General features: G+C 57.1%; 2 protein-coding genes across 6 annotated transcripts, besides 4 other annotated features; one reads left to right on the forward strand and one right to left on the reverse strand.

The window, feature by feature from the left end:
- Positions 1-436: 436 nt before the first annotated feature.
- Positions 437-7,348, reverse strand: BTBD17 (BTB domain containing 17). Of its 3 annotated transcripts, none has more exons than XM_017024622.2 (5): positions 7,036-7,348; positions 6,842-6,925; positions 6,123-6,324; positions 3,990-4,266; positions 437-1,752 (listed from the first exon to the last, which is right to left on the reverse strand). In XM_017024622.2, exons 3-5 carry the CDS (start codon positions 6,208-6,210, stop codon positions 678-680), a joined length of 1,440 nt encoding a protein of 479 aa, XP_016880111.1. In that variant the 5' UTR covers positions 6,211-6,324; positions 6,842-6,925; positions 7,036-7,348; the 3' UTR covers positions 437-677. The 3 variants fall into 3 exon arrangements, with proteins under 3 accessions (XP_016880111.1, XP_011523093.1, NP_001073935.1); XM_011524791.3 differs by having other exon boundaries at positions 6,778-6,925; NM_001080466.2 differs by lacking the exons at positions 6,123-6,324; positions 6,842-6,925; positions 7,036-7,348 and adding an exon at positions 5,756-5,889.
- Positions 976-1,848: an enhancer, noted in NCBI's record as "H3K4me1 hESC enhancer chr17:72353094-72353966 (GRCh37/hg19 assembly coordinates)". NCBI's record gives its function as "activates a minimal SCP1, AML or CMV promoter by ChIP-STARR-seq in naive H9 embryonic stem cells {active_cell/tissue: H9 hESC(naive)}" and the evidence as "EXISTENCE:reporter gene assay evidence [ECO:0000049][PMID:30033119]".
- Positions 5,581-5,630: a silencer, noted in NCBI's record as "silent region_8929". NCBI's record gives its function as "represses an Ori minimal core promoter by ATAC-STARR-seq in GM12878 lymphoblastoid cells {active_cell/tissue: GM12878}" and the evidence as "EXISTENCE:reporter gene assay evidence [ECO:0000049][PMID:35858748]".
- Positions 5,711-5,760: a silencer, noted in NCBI's record as "silent region_8930". NCBI's record gives its function as "represses an Ori minimal core promoter by ATAC-STARR-seq in GM12878 lymphoblastoid cells {active_cell/tissue: GM12878}" and the evidence as "EXISTENCE:reporter gene assay evidence [ECO:0000049][PMID:35858748]".
- Positions 7,349-11,526: 4,178 nt separating the features above from the next.
- On the forward strand, positions 11,527-16,621 carry GPR142 (G protein-coupled receptor 142). 3 transcript variants are annotated; one of them, NM_001331076.1, is made up of 4 exons: positions 11,527-11,815; positions 13,489-13,655; positions 14,542-14,700; positions 15,750-16,621. In NM_001331076.1, the coding sequence occupies exons 2-4, from the start codon at positions 13,562-13,564 to the stop codon at positions 16,619-16,621; spliced, it is 1,125 nt and encodes a 374-aa protein (NP_001318005.1). In that variant the 5' UTR covers positions 11,527-11,815; positions 13,489-13,561. The 3 variants fall into 3 exon arrangements, with proteins under 3 accessions (NP_001318005.1, NP_001318006.1, NP_861455.1); NM_001331077.1 differs by having other exon boundaries at positions 11,527-11,769; NM_181790.1 differs by having other exon boundaries at positions 11,527-11,769; positions 13,489-13,603.
- Positions 12,141-13,129: an enhancer, noted in NCBI's record as "H3K4me1 hESC enhancer chr17:72364259-72365247 (GRCh37/hg19 assembly coordinates)". NCBI's record gives its function as "activates a minimal SCP1, AML or CMV promoter by ChIP-STARR-seq in primed H9 embryonic stem cells {active_cell/tissue: H9 hESC(primed)}" and the evidence as "EXISTENCE:reporter gene assay evidence [ECO:0000049][PMID:30033119]".
- Positions 16,622-17,280: the final 659 nt, after the last annotated feature.

Here is a 17,280-nt window from a genome sequence, read left to right on the forward strand (position 1 = left end):
CCTCTCCCCATGGTGGGGCTAGCAAGATCCGTTATGTCCCTATCCCACTGGCCTTCACACCTGCCCAGGCACCCTCCCAGGAGAGGTCAGGGACCTGAGGCGGCCCAGATGCCAGAAAGTCTCACAACCCAGATGAGGCGGTTGCCCCTCGAGGTCAGGGCTCAGAAACTGCCCAGCTAAGCCCCTCAGCCTCAAAGTGAGGAAACTCCTGCAAGGGGAATGGGGTGCTCCCTGACTCCCCCGCAAGGGGAATGGGGCGCTCCCTGTCTCCCAGGCAGGTGGGTTGCTGTGACCATGTGGATGCTTTTACCTGCCCTAGTTCTGTGTCTGGGTGGGGGGAAAGCTCAACAAAGGGGAGTGAAACCCCTAAACCCCCTGGCTTGTGGGACCCTCCCTGGGTTGTTTTTACCCAGAAACTGAGTGGTTCAATCATCCCTTTACCACTCTGAGCATCGGTTTATTCAGGACCAAGAACGTTCCTTCAAGTCAGCTGTGAAATCAGCTCTTGAAACCAGGCATCTTGTCTACCACGCCTCACCTGGACTCCACCCCAGCCCTAGGGTGGCCGGCGCCTGGCCATCCAGGGGACCAGGCTTGTTGCCACCTCCAGGCTCGCCTTGCCCTTCCCAGACCCACAGGGACCACCTAGGCCAGGCCTTTATTCCCAGACCCCGAGGCTACTTGGGGGTCCGGATAAGGGTGTGGTATACGGGCTTGACGATGAGGTGCAGGTGCAGGGCGTTCTCAACCAGGTACTCGGAGTTGCGCCGCTGCAGGTCGGCGTGCGCCAGGAAGTCGCCGGCCTCCTCGCTGCTCTGGTGGAAGCTGTAGGCGTGGCGGACCAGCAGGCGGCCCTGCTGGCGCGCCCCCACCAGCACCGTCTTCTGGAAGCTCACGCCCGCCGCGTCGCCGCCGCTGCTGGCCGGCGTCACCACCAGCCGCGGTCGGCCGTCCTCCGGGCGCGCGGCGGGCAGAGCAGTGCCCGCGGCGTCCGCGTAAACGGGCCGCAGGCTGACGGGCAGCCAGCGCGGCGAGAAGAGCACGTTCCAGGTGACCCGGCGGCCCGCGTCGTGGCCACTCGGGCCCAGCTGCGTCTGGAAGCTGGTGCTGCGGTCGTCGCGGGCCGGGTTGTTGATGACCCACGGGGCGCCCCAGGCGGGCGCGAGGTAGTTGCGGGGCAGGAAGGCGCTGCCGTTGACGTCGAAGAACTTGGCGTAGTGCAGCGGCGACGCGGCGTGGAACTGGTAGGCCTGCAGCAGGAGGTCGGCCACCGCGGGGCCGTGGCGCGCCAGGGCTGCCGAGCGCGCCTGCAGCTGGAACAGCTGTGCCGGTGGGATCATGGGGTAGCGTATGGCGCGCAGCGCCCGCTCGGCCACGGCAGGGGGCGGCCGCGCGCGACCCAGCCAGGCCTCCAGCGCGTGGAACAGCTCCAGTTCATCCTGCAGCACCAGGTCCGAGCGTTGCAGGAGCTGCCAGAGCAGCTCGGGGCTCACGGCGCCCCACTCGGTGCTGGCCGCCACGGCCGACAGGTTCCAGGCCAGGAACTGCAGGCAGCTCTCGCGCAGGGCCTCGTCCCCGGTGCCCACCGCGTAGTGGTACCAGCCCACCGCCGGGCCCGCGCCTCCCGCCAGGTGCGCGCGCATGTAGTCGGCCACGCCGCGCTGCAGGGAGGACACGCCGTACTTGGTGGCCAGTCTGTGCAGGGGGATGGCCTGGGTCAGCAGCACGGTCAGCTCCCCGCAGTACAGGTACCTGCGGGAGAGACCGAGAGGTGGGGCGGGGTCAGGGCGGTACCCACCTCCCAGGATAGATTTTTTAGAGTCCACAGGGGACCCGGCCTGGAGTTGGAGCTTCACTGTCCGGGTGCAAACACAGTGGAAGCCCCACCCTGAGGCTTCCCATGTTTTCCTTTCAAGGACCCTTCCAGGCCATTCTTACTTCACAGGCTCTTCTTTCCGTTTCCGCGGTGATGTAGAAATTGCCTGCATTGACTGTGCCTCTACTAGGCGTGCAGCCCTAGGCTGGAACAAAACAGACGTGGCTCCTGCCTTTGGGGTTTCCAGTCTGGTTGGGATCCATGGCCTGCCTTCTCCTTGCCATGAGTCTGGGCAAGTCACTTAACTTCAGTGAACCTTAGGCTAATCAATCACCTAGGAAAGGGGGAGTGGCACACACCCCTCAGGGTTACTGTGACAACCAGAGGAGAATAAAGAATCTTGCTACAGGCCAGGTGGGTGCTAGTGGCTCACACCTGGAATCTCAGCACTTTGGAAGGCCAAGATGGGAGGATTGCTTGAGGCCAGGAGTTCAAGACCAGCTTGGGCAACATAGCAAGACCCTATCTCTACAAAAAATAAAAAATGTTAAAACATTAGTCATGTGTGGTGGTGCACGCTTGTAGTCCCAGCTGCCTGGGAGTCTGAGGTGGGAAGATAGCTTCAGCCTAGGAGTTCAAGGCTGCAGTGAGCTATGATCATCATGCCACGACACTCCAGCTTTTTTTTTTTTTTTTTTTTTTTTTGAGATGGGGTCTTTCTGTATTGCTCAGGTTGGTCTCAAACTCCTGGACTTGAGCAGTCCTCCCACCTTGGCCTCTCAAAGTGCTGGGATTACAGGTGTGAGCCCCCATTTCTTTTTTGCAGCCTCACCTTTCTTTTTCCTCTCCTACTGTTGGTGATCACTTCTGCTGAGTATCTCTTCGTCTTACTTCTGCCACTGTCCCATGGCTCACCTTTCCTGCCAGTCCCCACCGGCACACGGCACCGCACTTGCCTCTATAGGAGTGTGGCAGCCACTGCCAGCCATCTTCCCCAACGTCCATTTCTCCCCTTTCCCCTGCGTGATTGCCTCTGGGAATAAAAGACCACATTTCCCAGGCTCCCTCATTCTGGCCTTGGCCATGTGACTAACTGCTGGTCAATGGGCGCAGTTTGGGATTTGCAGGAAGGCTGATTAAATGCAACTGATTCCGGGTTAACAGGAAGACCCTTTTTGCCCTTCTGTCTTATCCCCTTTCCTGTTGCCTGGAACTTGGAAGCAATGTATGGAATTCTGCAGGCATCTCGTCTGAGCCGTTAGAACAGAGTTACTTTCTTAGACACTAGTGTGAATGGCACCCCCTGAGCAGCATCACGGCAGGAGGCAGGAGGTGGAGAGAGCCGTCTAACTTTTTCAGCTCCCTAGCCCTGTGGTTCCAAACCTGGCCAAACACCAAAACCACAGCGATGCTTTCAAATAAAAAATATTCGTCTATAATGGAATATTTAGGAAAATAAAAAGTAAATAAATAAAATAAAATAAAAAATGATTGCTGGCCCTAACCCTAGACCTGAAACTGACAATCCAGGTTGGGATCCGTGAAACTGTAGTTTTTTTGTTTGTTTGTTTGGTTGGTTGGTTGGTTGGTTGGTTGATTTTTTTCAGACAGAATCCTGCTCTGTCACCCAGGCTGGAATCTAGTGGCACAATCTCAGCTCACTGCAAACCCAAACTCTGCCTCCCAGGTTCAAGCCATTCTCCTGCCTTAGCCTCCCAAATAGCTGGGATTACAGTCGTGTGCCACCACACCCAGCTAATTTTCTATATTTTTAGTAGAGACAGGGTTTCACCATGTTGGCCAGGCTGGTCTTGAACTCCTGACCTCAAGTGATCCACCTGCCTCAGCCTCCCAAATTGCTGGGATTACAGGCATGAGCCACCGTGCCCGGCCCCAAAACTGTAGTTTTTAAAAGCTGTCTATGGCCAGGTTTGGAAACAGCTCTGAGGGGGTTACTAGGAACCGAAAGTGACATCAAACTGCACAGATGACACGGGCAAAGACAGGGAGCTGTACAGTGGAAGAAGGGATGCAGGGGTCACTGTCATCCCAGTGATGTCCGGGGAAATGGACATAACAACCTCTAAGGGCCTGGGCTTCCCTGACCCTGTAGGTGGAGGAGCCGGGGGCTGAGGAAGGGATGAAGCCATCCCCTAGTCTTCCGCGTCCCCACCTGATGAACTTGTCGAAGACAGCGGCGCAGTCCTGTGGCTCCTGCAGCACCGCCTCGCTCTGGTTACTTAGCAGCTCCAGGAACAGCTCACTGTGCAGTCCCAGCAGCAGGCGGTGGGCGTGGAATACCCGGACCTCATCGGTGCCCGCAGCCTGCACCCGCAGAACCACATCGCTGGCGTTGCCCTGCCGCAGCAGCTCCTGCAAGCGCTGGAGCACCGCCTGGGAGTGGTTGATGGAGGTGCCAGCTGCCTCCCCGCCAACATCGGCTCTCTGTGCTGCAGCAGGAAGGAACACAGCATAGCCTGAGAAGGTGCCCGGGCCCAGAACCTCAGTCAGGGGTGGAGAGGGACCAGCTGGAGACATATGCATGGGTGTGAGCAGAGGGCAAGGTGGGCCTAGGCGGGTTGTATGTGCATACCTGTTTGTGCCCACGAGGCGCGTGGATGCATCGGTGCACATACAAACGCACCCTGGGTGGGAAGGTCATGCCAATGCAAACCCCAAGAGGATGCTCTTGGAAGGGGGTGCATTCAGGCAGGGGGAGGTTGTGCTCAGGTTTAGGACAACATGCCCAGAACTCATCTCCATGCTGCCAGCCCCCCAGGCAAGGGTTGAGGAAACTCGTGGTCCCACCCTTCTCACTTCCTAAAGAATTATCCATCTAACCCCTTGGAGCAGTAGTCAGAAGTGGTGCATTCACTAACAAATATTTATTGAGCACTTACTATATGCTAGACATTCTCCTAAGAGCTTGGGATGTGGCAGTGGACAAAGCAAGCCAAGTTCTTATGCTCATAAAAGCACGAATTGACATATCAAACGGGTAAGACACACACAAATAAGCACTCCAGTTTTAAAGGAGCCAGCCAGGGAACCAGTGTCAAGGCAGGCTCCAGCCCCGCAAAGGCCCTTGAACGGAATGGGCCTGGGGTACTGGGAGCAGAGAGAGCATTAGGGAGGCCACAGCAGTAGCAGGAGAGAGGGGCGGGTGTGAGACGAGGCTGCGGGTGTGGAAGGGAAGCTGTTTTCCAGGCCCAGCCCTGCCCTCTTGGGTCCTGATCTCTGAGACAGAAGCCGATTTTCTGGGGTGGCCAGCAGGGGACAGGAGAAAGTGCGAAGGGCCAGCTGGTGCTGGAATAGAACTTCCTGGGTAACTGAGCATTGAGGCTGGCCAGGCCGGCCCTTTGCTTATGCTCCAGGATGCCCCGACAGTCAGATGGGGATATGCACTCAGTTATAGAAACTGTCAGCAGCTTTCCCAAGCCGAGAACAGCGAGGGGAGCCTCGCAGAGGGAGGCGGGCGGGGGCCTGATTGCAGCAGATGGGCCGCAGCCACATGTGCACGCACAGCACATGCAGGCCCGTGGTGCACACAGGAGAGAAGGCTCACACAGGAGCAGAGCATCTGTGCATGAGAGAGGGAGGCCGAGGGACAAAGGGAGGGTGAAAGAGAAGCGGGTAGTATGTTTCCCAGCACGGCCTTCCCCAGCTGTCACTTTGAAGGACCTGAATGCTGATGGCGTCCCCATTCAGCCTCTGCCCAGGACAATGGGCAATGGAGGGTCCTCTTGTCCTTAAGAGCCCTGCCCACCTGCCTGCCAGGCCCCTCCTTCCTTCAGACAGATGAGTCCGTGGAGCTGTCCGGTCCACCCCGTGCTCTCCCCAGCAGCTGGACACCGCCCCCTCCTGGCCGGCCGCGTGCAGCCAGGGCTGGGACGACCTGCCGCTCCACCCTGCCCCGCACCTGGCCCACTGCCCGCTCACCTGCATGGGTGACCAGGCCCACCAAGGTCAGCATGGCCCAGAAGCTGCCCCAGGACCCAGGCTTGGAGTAGCCTCTCCTAGGCATCTTTATGCTCAGCCCCCAAGTCCACTGGAGGGACGGTGAAGCCCAGACCACTCTGCTCACATCCCTCTTCCTTATATAGGATCCGGCACAAGGGGACGGCACCCCCCTTCCTGCTTGGCCTCCCTCCCCCACTCAGCCTCCTCCATGGATTGGTGGAAACTGGCCCCAGCTGTTGCCCAGGCAACCACTTAAGCCAGAGAGCGGCAGCCCCGGGGGCTATTGTGCTGCCTGTGGGCCCCCAAGGGGAACAGATCCGGAACCCTCCTCCCCCAATCTCCTTACCACCCAGCAGGGCTAGCCGTGCCTCTCCCTGGAAAGTTTCAGGCTCTCTGCAGAATAGGCGAGGGGCTCCAGGACCACTGGCAGCCATTGGCCTGAGGGTCCCCAGTTCCCTCCCCCAACCCCAGGCCTCGGCCCTGGCACAGAGCACACTTGGCAGCGTCGTGCCTGGAGCACCATGGTGAGCCGGCTGCAAAGGAAGGGCCTGGAAGAGGAAAGGAGAGGCGGCTGAGGCTCCCACCCCTCCCCCACTCCCATTTTGGGGTGGGGCAGCTCCTCAGAGAGAAGCTCAGAGATCTCTCGAATAGGGGCCCATGGGCAACTGATGTCAGTTTCATATTCTTTGTTGAAGAAGGTTCCTGGAATGCTGTGGGGAGGGTGATGGGCTGGCAGGAAAGTTCTGTGGGGACTGTGACTGTCGCCTCCCCCAGGGGCAAGCTGAGCCAGGTGGCAGGGCTGGGCATAGAGCAGATGCACCCTGCCCCGTGCACCACTGCATGGGTGACCCCTGCCCAGAGCGGGGCTGGCCACCTTCTAGCTCTGCGCTCCAGCCAGCCCAAGGCTGGGGACTGTCTGCCCTGCTATTTCCTGACTTGAATTCTCCTTCCCCAAGTGGCCTCAGGTCTCTGGGTTCACCTCCTTGGAAGGCTTGTTTTACCAGCTTCTGTCTTATTTCCCACTGTAATTTTTCCTTTTCCAGGCTAAGGAGGCATGCTGCAGACCTGGTGTTTCACTCCCAATGTAAGGAAACTGAGGCAGGGAGCTAGGTTGCAGTCTCAGTTGGGTTAGTGCAGAGGAGTGCTCTTCTAAAAACAAAGGCAACAGAGAGAGGAAAGTGAGTCTGGAGCTCAGCAAAAGCGCGCGCGCATGTGTGTGTGTGTGTGTGTGTGTAGGGTGGCATGCTGTGAGTCCTCACCTTTGCAGGGAGCCAGCAGGGTCTGCCCCAGTTCTTCGTGGGAGGGACTCCTTTGAGCTTGGCTAACCGAAGTGGGTGACTCCCAAGGGATCTGACTCCGAGGCAGGGCTCTAGGTTGGGGATGAATTAAATCTTCCTCTCCCTGGCTCTCTGGATCCCAGGGGCCAGCTCGATGCATTGATTTCTGCCTCTGGCTGGCACAGAGACCCAGCAGCTCCACCCCCTCTCTGGAGCCGCAGAGAGAGCAAGAACTGGGTCTGGCACCTGCCTCGTCCGGGTTGGCAGAGTTGGAGCTCTCCAGCCCAGCGGAAACCCCTCCAGCTGCCCTGAGTTTCATGCCTGGCTCCCCTCGTCCAAATCCACTATCCCTTGCCCACTGGCTGCCCGCCTGCCCTTCCCATGGGCTGTACCATGTCCTGGCTCAACCCAGCAAGTCCAAGTCTCCATGCAGCAGGGCAGCCCTGGTCCCTGAGGGCATCCCAGCTTCCAAGCACAGTGCTTTCGATAGGAATGTTATTGATGATAAGAGAACCCGCTACTCAGAAAACTGTCGTTTGATATTTGTGCCTCTCAACTCCAGCCTCCTTCAGCCTCTGCATCAGTCATTCTTTGTTTTGTTTTGCTTTTCTAGAGGCAGAATCTCTCAGTCACCAAGGCTGGAGTGCAGTGACACAATCATAGCTCACTGCAGCCTCAAACTCCTAGGCCCAAGCGATCCTCCTGCCTCAGCCTCCCAAGTAGCTGGGACAAAGGCAGTGCCACCACGCCTAGCTAATTTTGTGTCAGTCATTCTTGAAGGGTAGCCACCTGCATTAGAATCTCCCATGCTCCACCTTGGAACCAGGATTTTCAGGGGCAGGGTCTGGCTGTCTGTATTTTCTAAGTACTCCCAGACAATTGTTATACGCACCCCAAGACAAGCGCTACCTACTAGAGCTAGATTGGTGGCATTTCAAGTGTGAAGGAAGCTGGGAGGCCCTGGATCATCAAGAAGACCCGGAAGAGTCACCTCTGACTCCCCATCTCTGACAGGCCCCACCTCCCATTATTTCTAATCTCCCTTATCCCTGGCCCTCTTCGAATGATTTAGAAACTAGCTTTCCACATAGAGGCATTCTCTGTTCTCATTTTCTTTTTTTCTTTTTTTTTGAGACGGAGTCCTGCACCATTGCCCAGGCTGGAGTGCAGTGGCACAATCTTGGCTCACTGCAAGCTCTGCCTCCTGGGTTCACACCATTCTCCTGCCTCAGCCTCCCGAGTAGCTGGGACTACAGGCGCCCACCACCACGCTCAGCTAATTTTTTGTACTTTCAGTAGAGACGGGGTTTTACCGTGTTAGCCGGGATGGTCTCAATCTCCTGACCTCGTGATCCGACCGCCTCGGCCTCCCAAAGTGCTGGGATTACAGGCGTGAGCCACCGTGCCCGGCCTCTCATTTTCGTAACAGAGCATTGCTGGAGTGTGTGTGTGTGTGTGTGTGTGTGTGTGTATGGTATGCATGTGCACATGTGTGTATGCAGTGCGTGTGTGTGCATGTGCCTATTTATATGTGTGTGCGTATTGTGTGTGTCCATGCATGTGCGTGGTGTGTGTGCATGCATATTTGTGGATATGTGTGTGTGGTATGTGTACATGCATATGTATGTGTGGGGGAGTGTCCTGGGGCGGGAGAGAGGAAGCCAGGTATTTGCCCTGAGCCCTTTTTTTTTTTCTTTTGAGATGAAGCCTCGCTCTGTCGCCCAGGCTGGAGTGCGGTGGCGCCATCTCAGCTCACTGCAACCTCCACCTTCTGGGTTCAAACAATTCTCCTGCCTCAGCCTCCTGTGTAGCTGGGATTACAGGTGTGCACTACTATGTGCAGCTAATTTTTGTATTTTTAGTAGAGATGAGGTTTCACCATGTTGGCCAGGCTGGTCTCGATCTCCTCACCTCAGGTGATCCTCCCGCCTTGGCCTCCCAAAGTGCTGGGATTACAGGCGTGGGCCACGGTGCTTGGCCAAGTCTTTGAGAGGAAGAATCTGCAGCACTGCATATATATATATATATATATACACACACACACACACACACACACACACACACACACACACACACACACACATATATTGGCCCCATGGATCTGGGAGCGCCATAATTCCTTGAAGGCAAGTCTGATGAATTCACAAGCCAGCACCATCCTAGAGAGGAGTGTTACTTCCCGCCCCAGACGGGAGTGTTTATAGCCCAAGCCATGTGTCTGAGGTCTTATGACCAGGAACCTCAGAGGCAGGATTTATTTTTCGAGTTCTGAGTTGTGCTTGACTTTTCTTTTTTCTGATTTTTGTTGTTGTTGTTGTTAGATATGGGGTCTCACTCTTTCACCCAGGCTGGAGTGTGGTGGCACTGTCATAGCTCACTGCAGCCTCAAATTCCTGGGCTCAAGCAATCCTCCAGCCTCAGCCTTCCAAGTAGCTGGGACCACAGGTATGAACCACTGCACCTGGCTACTTGACTTTTCTTTCCACAACCCCATGTTGTGTTTTTGTTTTGTTTTGTTTTGTTTTGTTTTGTTTGAGATGGAGTCTCACTCTGTCGCCAGGCTGGAGTACAGTGGTGCGATCTCAGCTCACTGCAACCTCTGCCTCCTGGGTGCAGGCGATTCTCCTGCCTTTGCCTCCGGAGTAGCTGGGACTACAGGTACCCACTACCTGTAGTGGCTGGCTAATTGTTGTATTTTTAGTAGAGACGGGGTTTCACCATGTTGGCCAGGATGGTCTCGATCTCCTGACCTCGTGATCTGCCCGCCTCGGCCTCCCCAAAGTGCTGGGATTACAGATGTGAGCCACCATGTCCAGCCCATGCTGTCTTTTTGGGGAAGTTTTTCCAATTGTGATAAGTGATCCCTTTGGACAAGGAATCTCTAGTACTGTAAAAGCAACGGAAAACTCTTGCAAGCTTGGGACCAGATAAAGAGTTTCTGAATCTGCAAAGGGGGTGATCAGACACTGGACTGTGGTAACACCTCAGAGGGGTGGGCTCCAGACGCAGCCTGGCCCTACCTGGCACCCTCCCTTGCATCTGTAGTGCCTCCTGTCCTGACTTAGGGTTCCCTGAGTCACTGGGCCACTTGGACTGGGGACAGGAGATCATGGGTTTAAGTTCCAGGCCCCGTGTACACAGGGGAGCACATAAAGGTAAATATGAGGCCGGGCATGATGTCTCACACCTTTAATTCCAGCACTTTGGGAGGCTGAGGCGGGTGGATCACTTGAGGTCAGGAGTTCAAGCCCAGCCCGGGCAACATGGTAAAACCCCGTCTCTACTAAAACTACAAATATTAGCCAAGCTTGGTGGCTGGTGACTGTAATCCCAGCTACTTGGGAGGCTGAGGCAGGAAAATCGCTTGAACCCGGGAAGCAGAGGTTGCAGTGAGCTGAGATTGCACCCCTGCACTCCAGCCTGGGCAACAGGGTGAGACTCTGTCTCAAACAAACAAAAACTTAAATAAGAAGGAATCCTTGGCCAGGTGTGGTGGCTCACATCTGTAATCCCAGCACTCTGGGAGGCCGAGGCAGGTGGATTGCATGAGCCCAGGAGCTCGAGACCAGCCTAGGCAACATGGCGAAACACCGTCTCTACAAAAAATACGAAAATTAGCTGGGCGTGTTGGTGCTTGCCTGTAATGCCAGCTATTTGGGAGGCTGAGATGGGAGGATCACTTGAGCCTGGGAGTTCGAGGCTGCAGTGAGCTATGATCACACCACTGTACCACAGCCTGGGTGACAGAGTGAGACCCTGTCTTGAGGGGTAGGGAGGCAGAAGGAAAAAAAAGAGAGAGAGAGACCCTGGTGCTCAGGCCTGGTGGCTCTGGCTGGACTGATCAGGGCTGAAGACTTCAGAGACCAAAAAGGTCAAGGTGTGGCCGGGTGCGGTGGCTCACACCTGTGATCCCAGCATTTTTGGGAGACCCAGGTGGGCATATCACCTGAGGCCAGGAGCTCAGGACCAGCCTGGCTAACACGGTGAAACCCCGTCTCTACTAAAAATACAAAAATTAGCCAGGCATGGTGGCAGGCACCTGTAATCCCAGCTACTTGGGAGGCTGAGGCAGGAGAATCACTGGAACCCAGGAGGCAGAGGTTGCAGTGAGCCGAGATAGCACCATTGCACTCCAGCCTGGGTGACAGAGCGAGACTCTGTCTCAAAAAGAAAAGAAAAAAAAAGTCAAGGTGTGCGGCTGGGTCTTCATAACATCTTTCACCTTGCCCAGGCTGGCTCAGAGGTGACTGCCTTAGTGGATAGGATCCCTTCCACCGTGGGCTAGCAGCCTACCCTGGTCACTGACACCACACCATGTAGGAAAGAATCGCCACCACCAAGAAGGGGCCTCTCACCTCTGTATAGGCTGTGTGCTGGCTGATGACGTGGTTGCCCTGTCCTGTCTGCTGCTGCCACTGAGCTGGACATCTCCAGGCTCCATCTCTTGAACCATGGATCCCAGCGTTGTTAGCAATGAGTATTATGATGTTGCCCATGGAGCAAAAGATCCAGTGGGTCCCCACTTCCCTGCAGGACATCACTGCTGTCCTGGGTACAGAAGCATATACTGAGGAAGACAAATCAATGGTGTCCCATGCACAGAAAAGCCAGCATTCTTGTCTCAGCCATTCCAGGTGGCTGAGGTCTCCACAGGTCACAGGGGGAAGCTGGGACCTCCGAATAAGGCCATCCAAGGACTCCAGCAGTTTCCGCCAGGTGAATCCAGCTGCCTCCCAGAACAGGCCTTCTATGGGGTGGGATGGTAAGTTGCTGGAAGGACGTGCATGGGGCATCATTGTAGCAAACTCAGTCCCCCTCCTCCATCTCTCCCTCTCCTCGCTCTGAATCCAGGGAGCTCTAGTTTTCTGTGTAGCCTGTGTGACAGCCTTGGTTGAAACCCTTGTGTTCCGTCTGAAGAATATTTAAGGTTTCCAGTCAAGTGTACATCCCTCAAAGAAACAAAGTGGGCTTGGCATGGTGACTCACACCTGTAATCCCAGCTCTTTGAGAGGCCAAGGCAGAAGGACCACTTGAAGCCTGGAGTTCCAGACCAGCCTCGGCAACACAGCGAGGCCCCAAACTCTCTCTATATCTATACATAAAATTTAAAAAACAAAGTGTAGGGACAGGGTGGGCACTCGGTAAATGTTGGCAGGGACCCTCCTTGCCCCTCACCCATGGCAGCTCCTTGAAGAGAGGGTCAGCCTCCTCTCACCCCTAGCCTCCTGCTGCAAGGAGGTGGTGGCCTGGGGCGTCATCTGTGCTACTTGCACTTTCTGGGGCTGGGGTCCCAGCACTCCACCAGAGGACCTGCCCTGAGCGGGCAGCTCCGTCTCCAGTCCCACTGTGCCACCCAGGGTGCCTAGCCAAACCATGGGACTTTCAGGCTTGCAGGGTCAGGATGTGGCCACCAGGGGGCAGCAGGGCCTGCGCTGTGAGTATCCGAGGGGGGGTTGGGATGGGGAGTTCCAGGCTCTGATGTGAGATCTAACTCCCAGAGCTGGGAAGCTCCCTATATTTCCTGCCATATTTTCTGCTGCATTCCCAGAGGACAGGCCATGGGAGGTGATTCCAGGGGGGCCTGAGCTCTCCTCCCGAGACCGTCCACGGGGCATCCATGTCCCGGGTACCTGCTTGTGGGCTGCTCTGGTCACTCTTCCTCTAGGGCAGGAGAGCCAGTCTGGCCTCTTCTGAGTGCACACCAGCAACGGCTGTTGTTTATTTGCCAGGGATTGATATTCTTGAGGGATGGTCCATTTCACCAGGGCCAGGGAAACAACAGCTTGCAGGACTGTGGTTTCCCAGCACCGGCTGCAGGCAGCCTCGTCCGGCTGCTCCCAGAGGATGCCCCACCCTGTGCACGGCTGCCTGCCATCCTGCCCCTGGGGGTAGCCTCCACCTCCCCCACCATGGCCACTGCAGGACTGACCCTGTGCACCTGGTCCCCTGAGCCTCTTGGGATCATAGCCCTGTCTGTGGCAGCCTTACCACTCCTACCTGGCACGACTTCCCCAACTCCTCACAGAGGTGCCCTACTCTCTTCCCTTTCAGTCTGGATGCTCATAGAGTCAGCACCCTGAGTCCTTCTGCCTGTCCCCAAAGTCCTCAGCCCCAGGTTTGACCCCAGCTGAACACAGGCCAGCTCACAGAGTGCCCCGGGGCACGAGGCAGCCCCCCAGAACCCCCATCCTGCCATCCTGCCTCTTCTCCTCACTTCCTGCTCCCCCAGGCATAGACATACCTGTGAACCCCATGCCACCCTCAGCTCGTCTCTCCTGAAGCTGAAGCCCCTGCCCAGCCCGACCCCTTCCCCTGCCTGTGCGCCTTAGAGCACCCTGGTTTGCTCCACCAGCATCTACTCTAGCTCTTTCCCCGGTGCCTCCGCCCACCAGTTCCTTCCTCCTCCTTCCCCCGCCCCGCCCCCTGCACTAACAGGCTCAGTGTCTGCGTAAGGATCCTGGGGCAAACAACCACTTGGAGAGCCAAGGGGTGAGAGGTACAGCTGGCGATGCTGACAGGGAGCTGCGGGGACCCTCAGAAAAAGCCACAGGTGACCCAGGACTCAGGGCCCCAGAGCATGGGGCTTGAGGGACGAGAGACAGGTAAGGCATCTTGAAGTGGGGTGTGCTGGGGGCAATAAGGTGGAAAGGCAGGAGGGAACAGGAGGCAGGTTAGGGACCTAGAGGGTGGAGTAGGGGCCAAAGCTGAGAGTGAGTGAGCAGTGAGCCCCCCGGCCTCAGCAGGAAACGAAAAGCTGGAGTTCAGCCTGAAAGAGACGCGCAGTGTGGCTTCAGGGGAACAGGGGCCAGAGTGGACGGTGCTTATCCTAGACCAGCCACCTTACCCCTGTGGACTGAGTTTCCCCATCTGTGGACTTGGGCCATTCCAGCTTTAGTGGTGCTCACCTTTGAAGAGGGTATCTTTAGTTTAGAAAAGAGGGGGCCCTACCAACAGCCTCTCCTTAGAGGGGGACAGCTGTTGAGTGGAGCTGTGCAGACCTGGGGCCTCCACTGTGGACCTCCTAGAGAGGTCCCTGTGTGTGGCTGGCATCACCCGGGTCGGAATCACCCAGGTTGCTGATTACAAGCACGGCTGCTGCAACCCCGCTTCAGACCCTCTGGCCCGGAGGCGGCCCAGGAGCCTGCACCTCGACAAGTGCCCCCTGTTTCAGAGCCCCTGCTAGGCCGGGTGAGGGCCCATGGGGAGGACCCATGGGGAGCAATGGTCTCTATGGCAGCAGGCCGTGCTGCCAGGGACTTCCCATCAGTGGGGGAGCCGGGCCACTGAGGGAGTGGGGTGACATGGGGTGGGGGTGAGGGTGGTCTTGGCAAGAATTCTCACAGCAACAGACAGTGCACTCAGCTGGGTCTGACTAGAGGGTCTGCACAGAGCAGGGTGACTAGAAAGACCCCAGGTCAGGGCGGGGCTGCGCCCAGCCAGGTTAGAAATAGACCAGAGGCTCTGACTCTGCCCATCCGCACCTTCTAGCTGGCCAGCCACGAGTGACCCTGCTGCCCACGCCCCACGTCAGCGGGCTGAGCCAGGAGTTTGAAAGCCACTGGCCAGAGATCGCAGAGAGGTCCCCGTGTGTGGCTGGCGTCATCCCTGTCATCTACTACAGTGTCCTGCTGGGCTTGGGGCTGCCTGGTGAGTGGGGAGCTGGGGTCTGGGGACTTGGGCTTGGCCAGAAATGGGGATCCTCCTTCAATGGGTGCCAGTCCTCTGTGTTTGACCCCTGAGGCCCTGGATCATAGACCCCTGGTCTTTCCTTGCCATTGTCAGGGTGTTCTGGGTCACTGGAGGGGAATACAAGTAAGGGGCTAGGATTGGGGGTGCTCACAGCTAAACCCAAGTTTTCCCCAGCAGTGAGCGCACTCTTAGGATAACAAAATTCACATAGGAACTGGCTCAGCTCAGTACAAAGCTCCCCGTGCTGCCCATGCCTTCAGAGAGCAGAGCTTGGGGCAGAGGTGGGTGTGTGGATATGGGAAGGACGGGTGGTCTCGGCCCTGGGGATTTCCCCAAGTCTGATAGCTAAACCCATGCCTGTGTCTAGGGACGCCTCCATTCTGGAGGACACAGAAAACCTAAAAAGGACTTGGAGGACAATGCCATAGGACAGGTAGCTTTTTTTTTTTTTTTGAGATGGAGTCTCACTCTGTCACCCAGGCTGGAGTGCAGTGGCATGATCTCGGCTCATTGCAGCCTCCACTTCCCAGGTTCAAGCAATTCTCCTGCCTCAGCCTCCCAAGTAGCTGGGATTACAGGCATGCACCACCGTGCCTGGCTAATTTGTATATTTTTTTAACAGAGACGGGGTTTCTCCATGTTGGTCAGGCTGGTCTTGAACTCCTGACCTCAGGTGATCTGCTCGCCTTGGCCTCCCAAAGTGCTGGATTACAGGCGTGAGCCACCACACCTGGCCAGGACAGGTGGCTGCTGAGGACCCTTCCATGTGCACTTACCTGTGCATAACCGGGGTACAGCCAGTGGCCTGCAGTGGATGGACAGGGCAGAGCTGGCCTGGGTGGCCTTCTGGGCAAAGTGGGGTTTCAGAAGGATCTGGAAGGAGAAAAAAGAGAAGCCAGCGCAGCCTCTGCACATGCAGATGGGGAGGTGCGATGGCGACACCTTGGAAAGCAGAGTCTGAGCTCTCTTCTGATGCCTCTCCCCTCCCTCACCTCGGCTGCCCTCAGTCAGCCTCCTGACCGCAGTGGCCCTGGCGCGCCTTGCCACCAGGACCAGGAGGCCCTCCTACTACTACCTTCTGGCGCTCACAGCCTCGGATATCATCATCCAGGTGGTCATCGTGTTCGCGGGCTTCCTCCTGCAGGGAGCAGTGCTGGCCCGCCAGGTGCCCCAGGCTGTGGTGCGCACGGCCAACATCCTGGAGTTTGCTGCCAACCACGCCTCAGTCTGGATCGCCATCCTGCTCACGGTTGACCGCTACACTGCCCTGTGCCACCCCCTGCACCATCGGGCCGCCTCGTCCCCAGGCCGGACCCGCCGGGCCATTGCTGCTGTCCTGAGTGCTGCCCTGTTGACCGGCATCCCCTTCTACTGGTGGCTGGACATGTGGAGAGACACCGACTCACCCAGAACACTGGACGAGGTCCTCAAGTGGGCTCACTGTCTCACTGTCTATTTCATCCCTTGTGGCGTGTTCCTGGTCACCAACTCGGCCATCATCCACCGGCTACGGAGGAGGGGCCGGAGTGGGCTGCAGCCCCGGGTGGGCAAGAGCACAGCCATCCTCCTGGGCATCACCACACTGTTCACCCTCCTGTGGGCGCCCCGGGTCTTCGTCATGCTCTACCACATGTACGTGGCCCCTGTCCACCGGGACTGGAGGGTCCACCTGGCCTTGGATGTGGCCAATATGGTGGCCATGCTCCACACGGCAGCCAACTTCGGCCTCTACTGCTTTGTCAGCAAGACTTTCCGGGCCACTGTCCGACAGGTCATCCACGATGCCTACCTGCCCTGCACTTTGGCATCACAGCCAGAGGGCATGGCGGCGAAGCCTGTGATGGAGCCTCCGGGACTCCCCACAGGGGCAGAAGTGTAGAGGAGGGGGCCCAGCTAGGGAGCTCAGGGTGGCTCATGGCCACATGTACTGGGGCCTTTGAGGTTGTACCCAAAACACGTTTATCAACAGCTTGCTTTCCTTGGGTGGGGGTGGAGGCTCCTCCTTTGGGTGTGGCTCCCAGGTAGAGAGGAGGACAACTTAGCCAGCTCTTATGTTTGCTTCACCAGCAATCCCTATTTCCTGGGAAGATGAAAGGGCACTGCCAGGCACAGGCTAATAGCATCAGTGCTGTGGGCATTCCTTTGCGGGGGGCATTTTGCCTGGCTCATCGTGAATGCCAGATTAATGTTGGTTGAATGGATAGAAAAACGGACAGATGGAGGCCGGGTGCGGTGGCTCACGCCTGTAATCCCAGCACGTTGGGAGGCTGAGGCAGGCGGATCACGAGGTCAGGAGATCGAGACCACAGTGAAACCCTGTCTCTACTAAAAATACAAAAAATTAGCTGGACGCAGTGGCGGGCGCCTGTAGTCCCAGCTACTCGGGAGGCTGAGGCAGGAGAATGGCGTGAACCCGGAAGGCGGAGCTTGCGGTGAGCCGAGATCCCGCCACTGCACTCCAGCCTGGGCGACAGAGTGAGACTCCGTCTCAAAAAAACAAAAACAAAAACAAAAACAAAAAAGGACAGATGGATGGAT

Source organism: Homo sapiens, chromosome 17 (genome assembly GCF_000001405.40).
Source record: "Homo sapiens chromosome 17, GRCh38.p14 Primary Assembly".
NCBI lineage: Eukaryota > Metazoa > Chordata > Mammalia > Primates > Hominidae > Homo > Homo sapiens.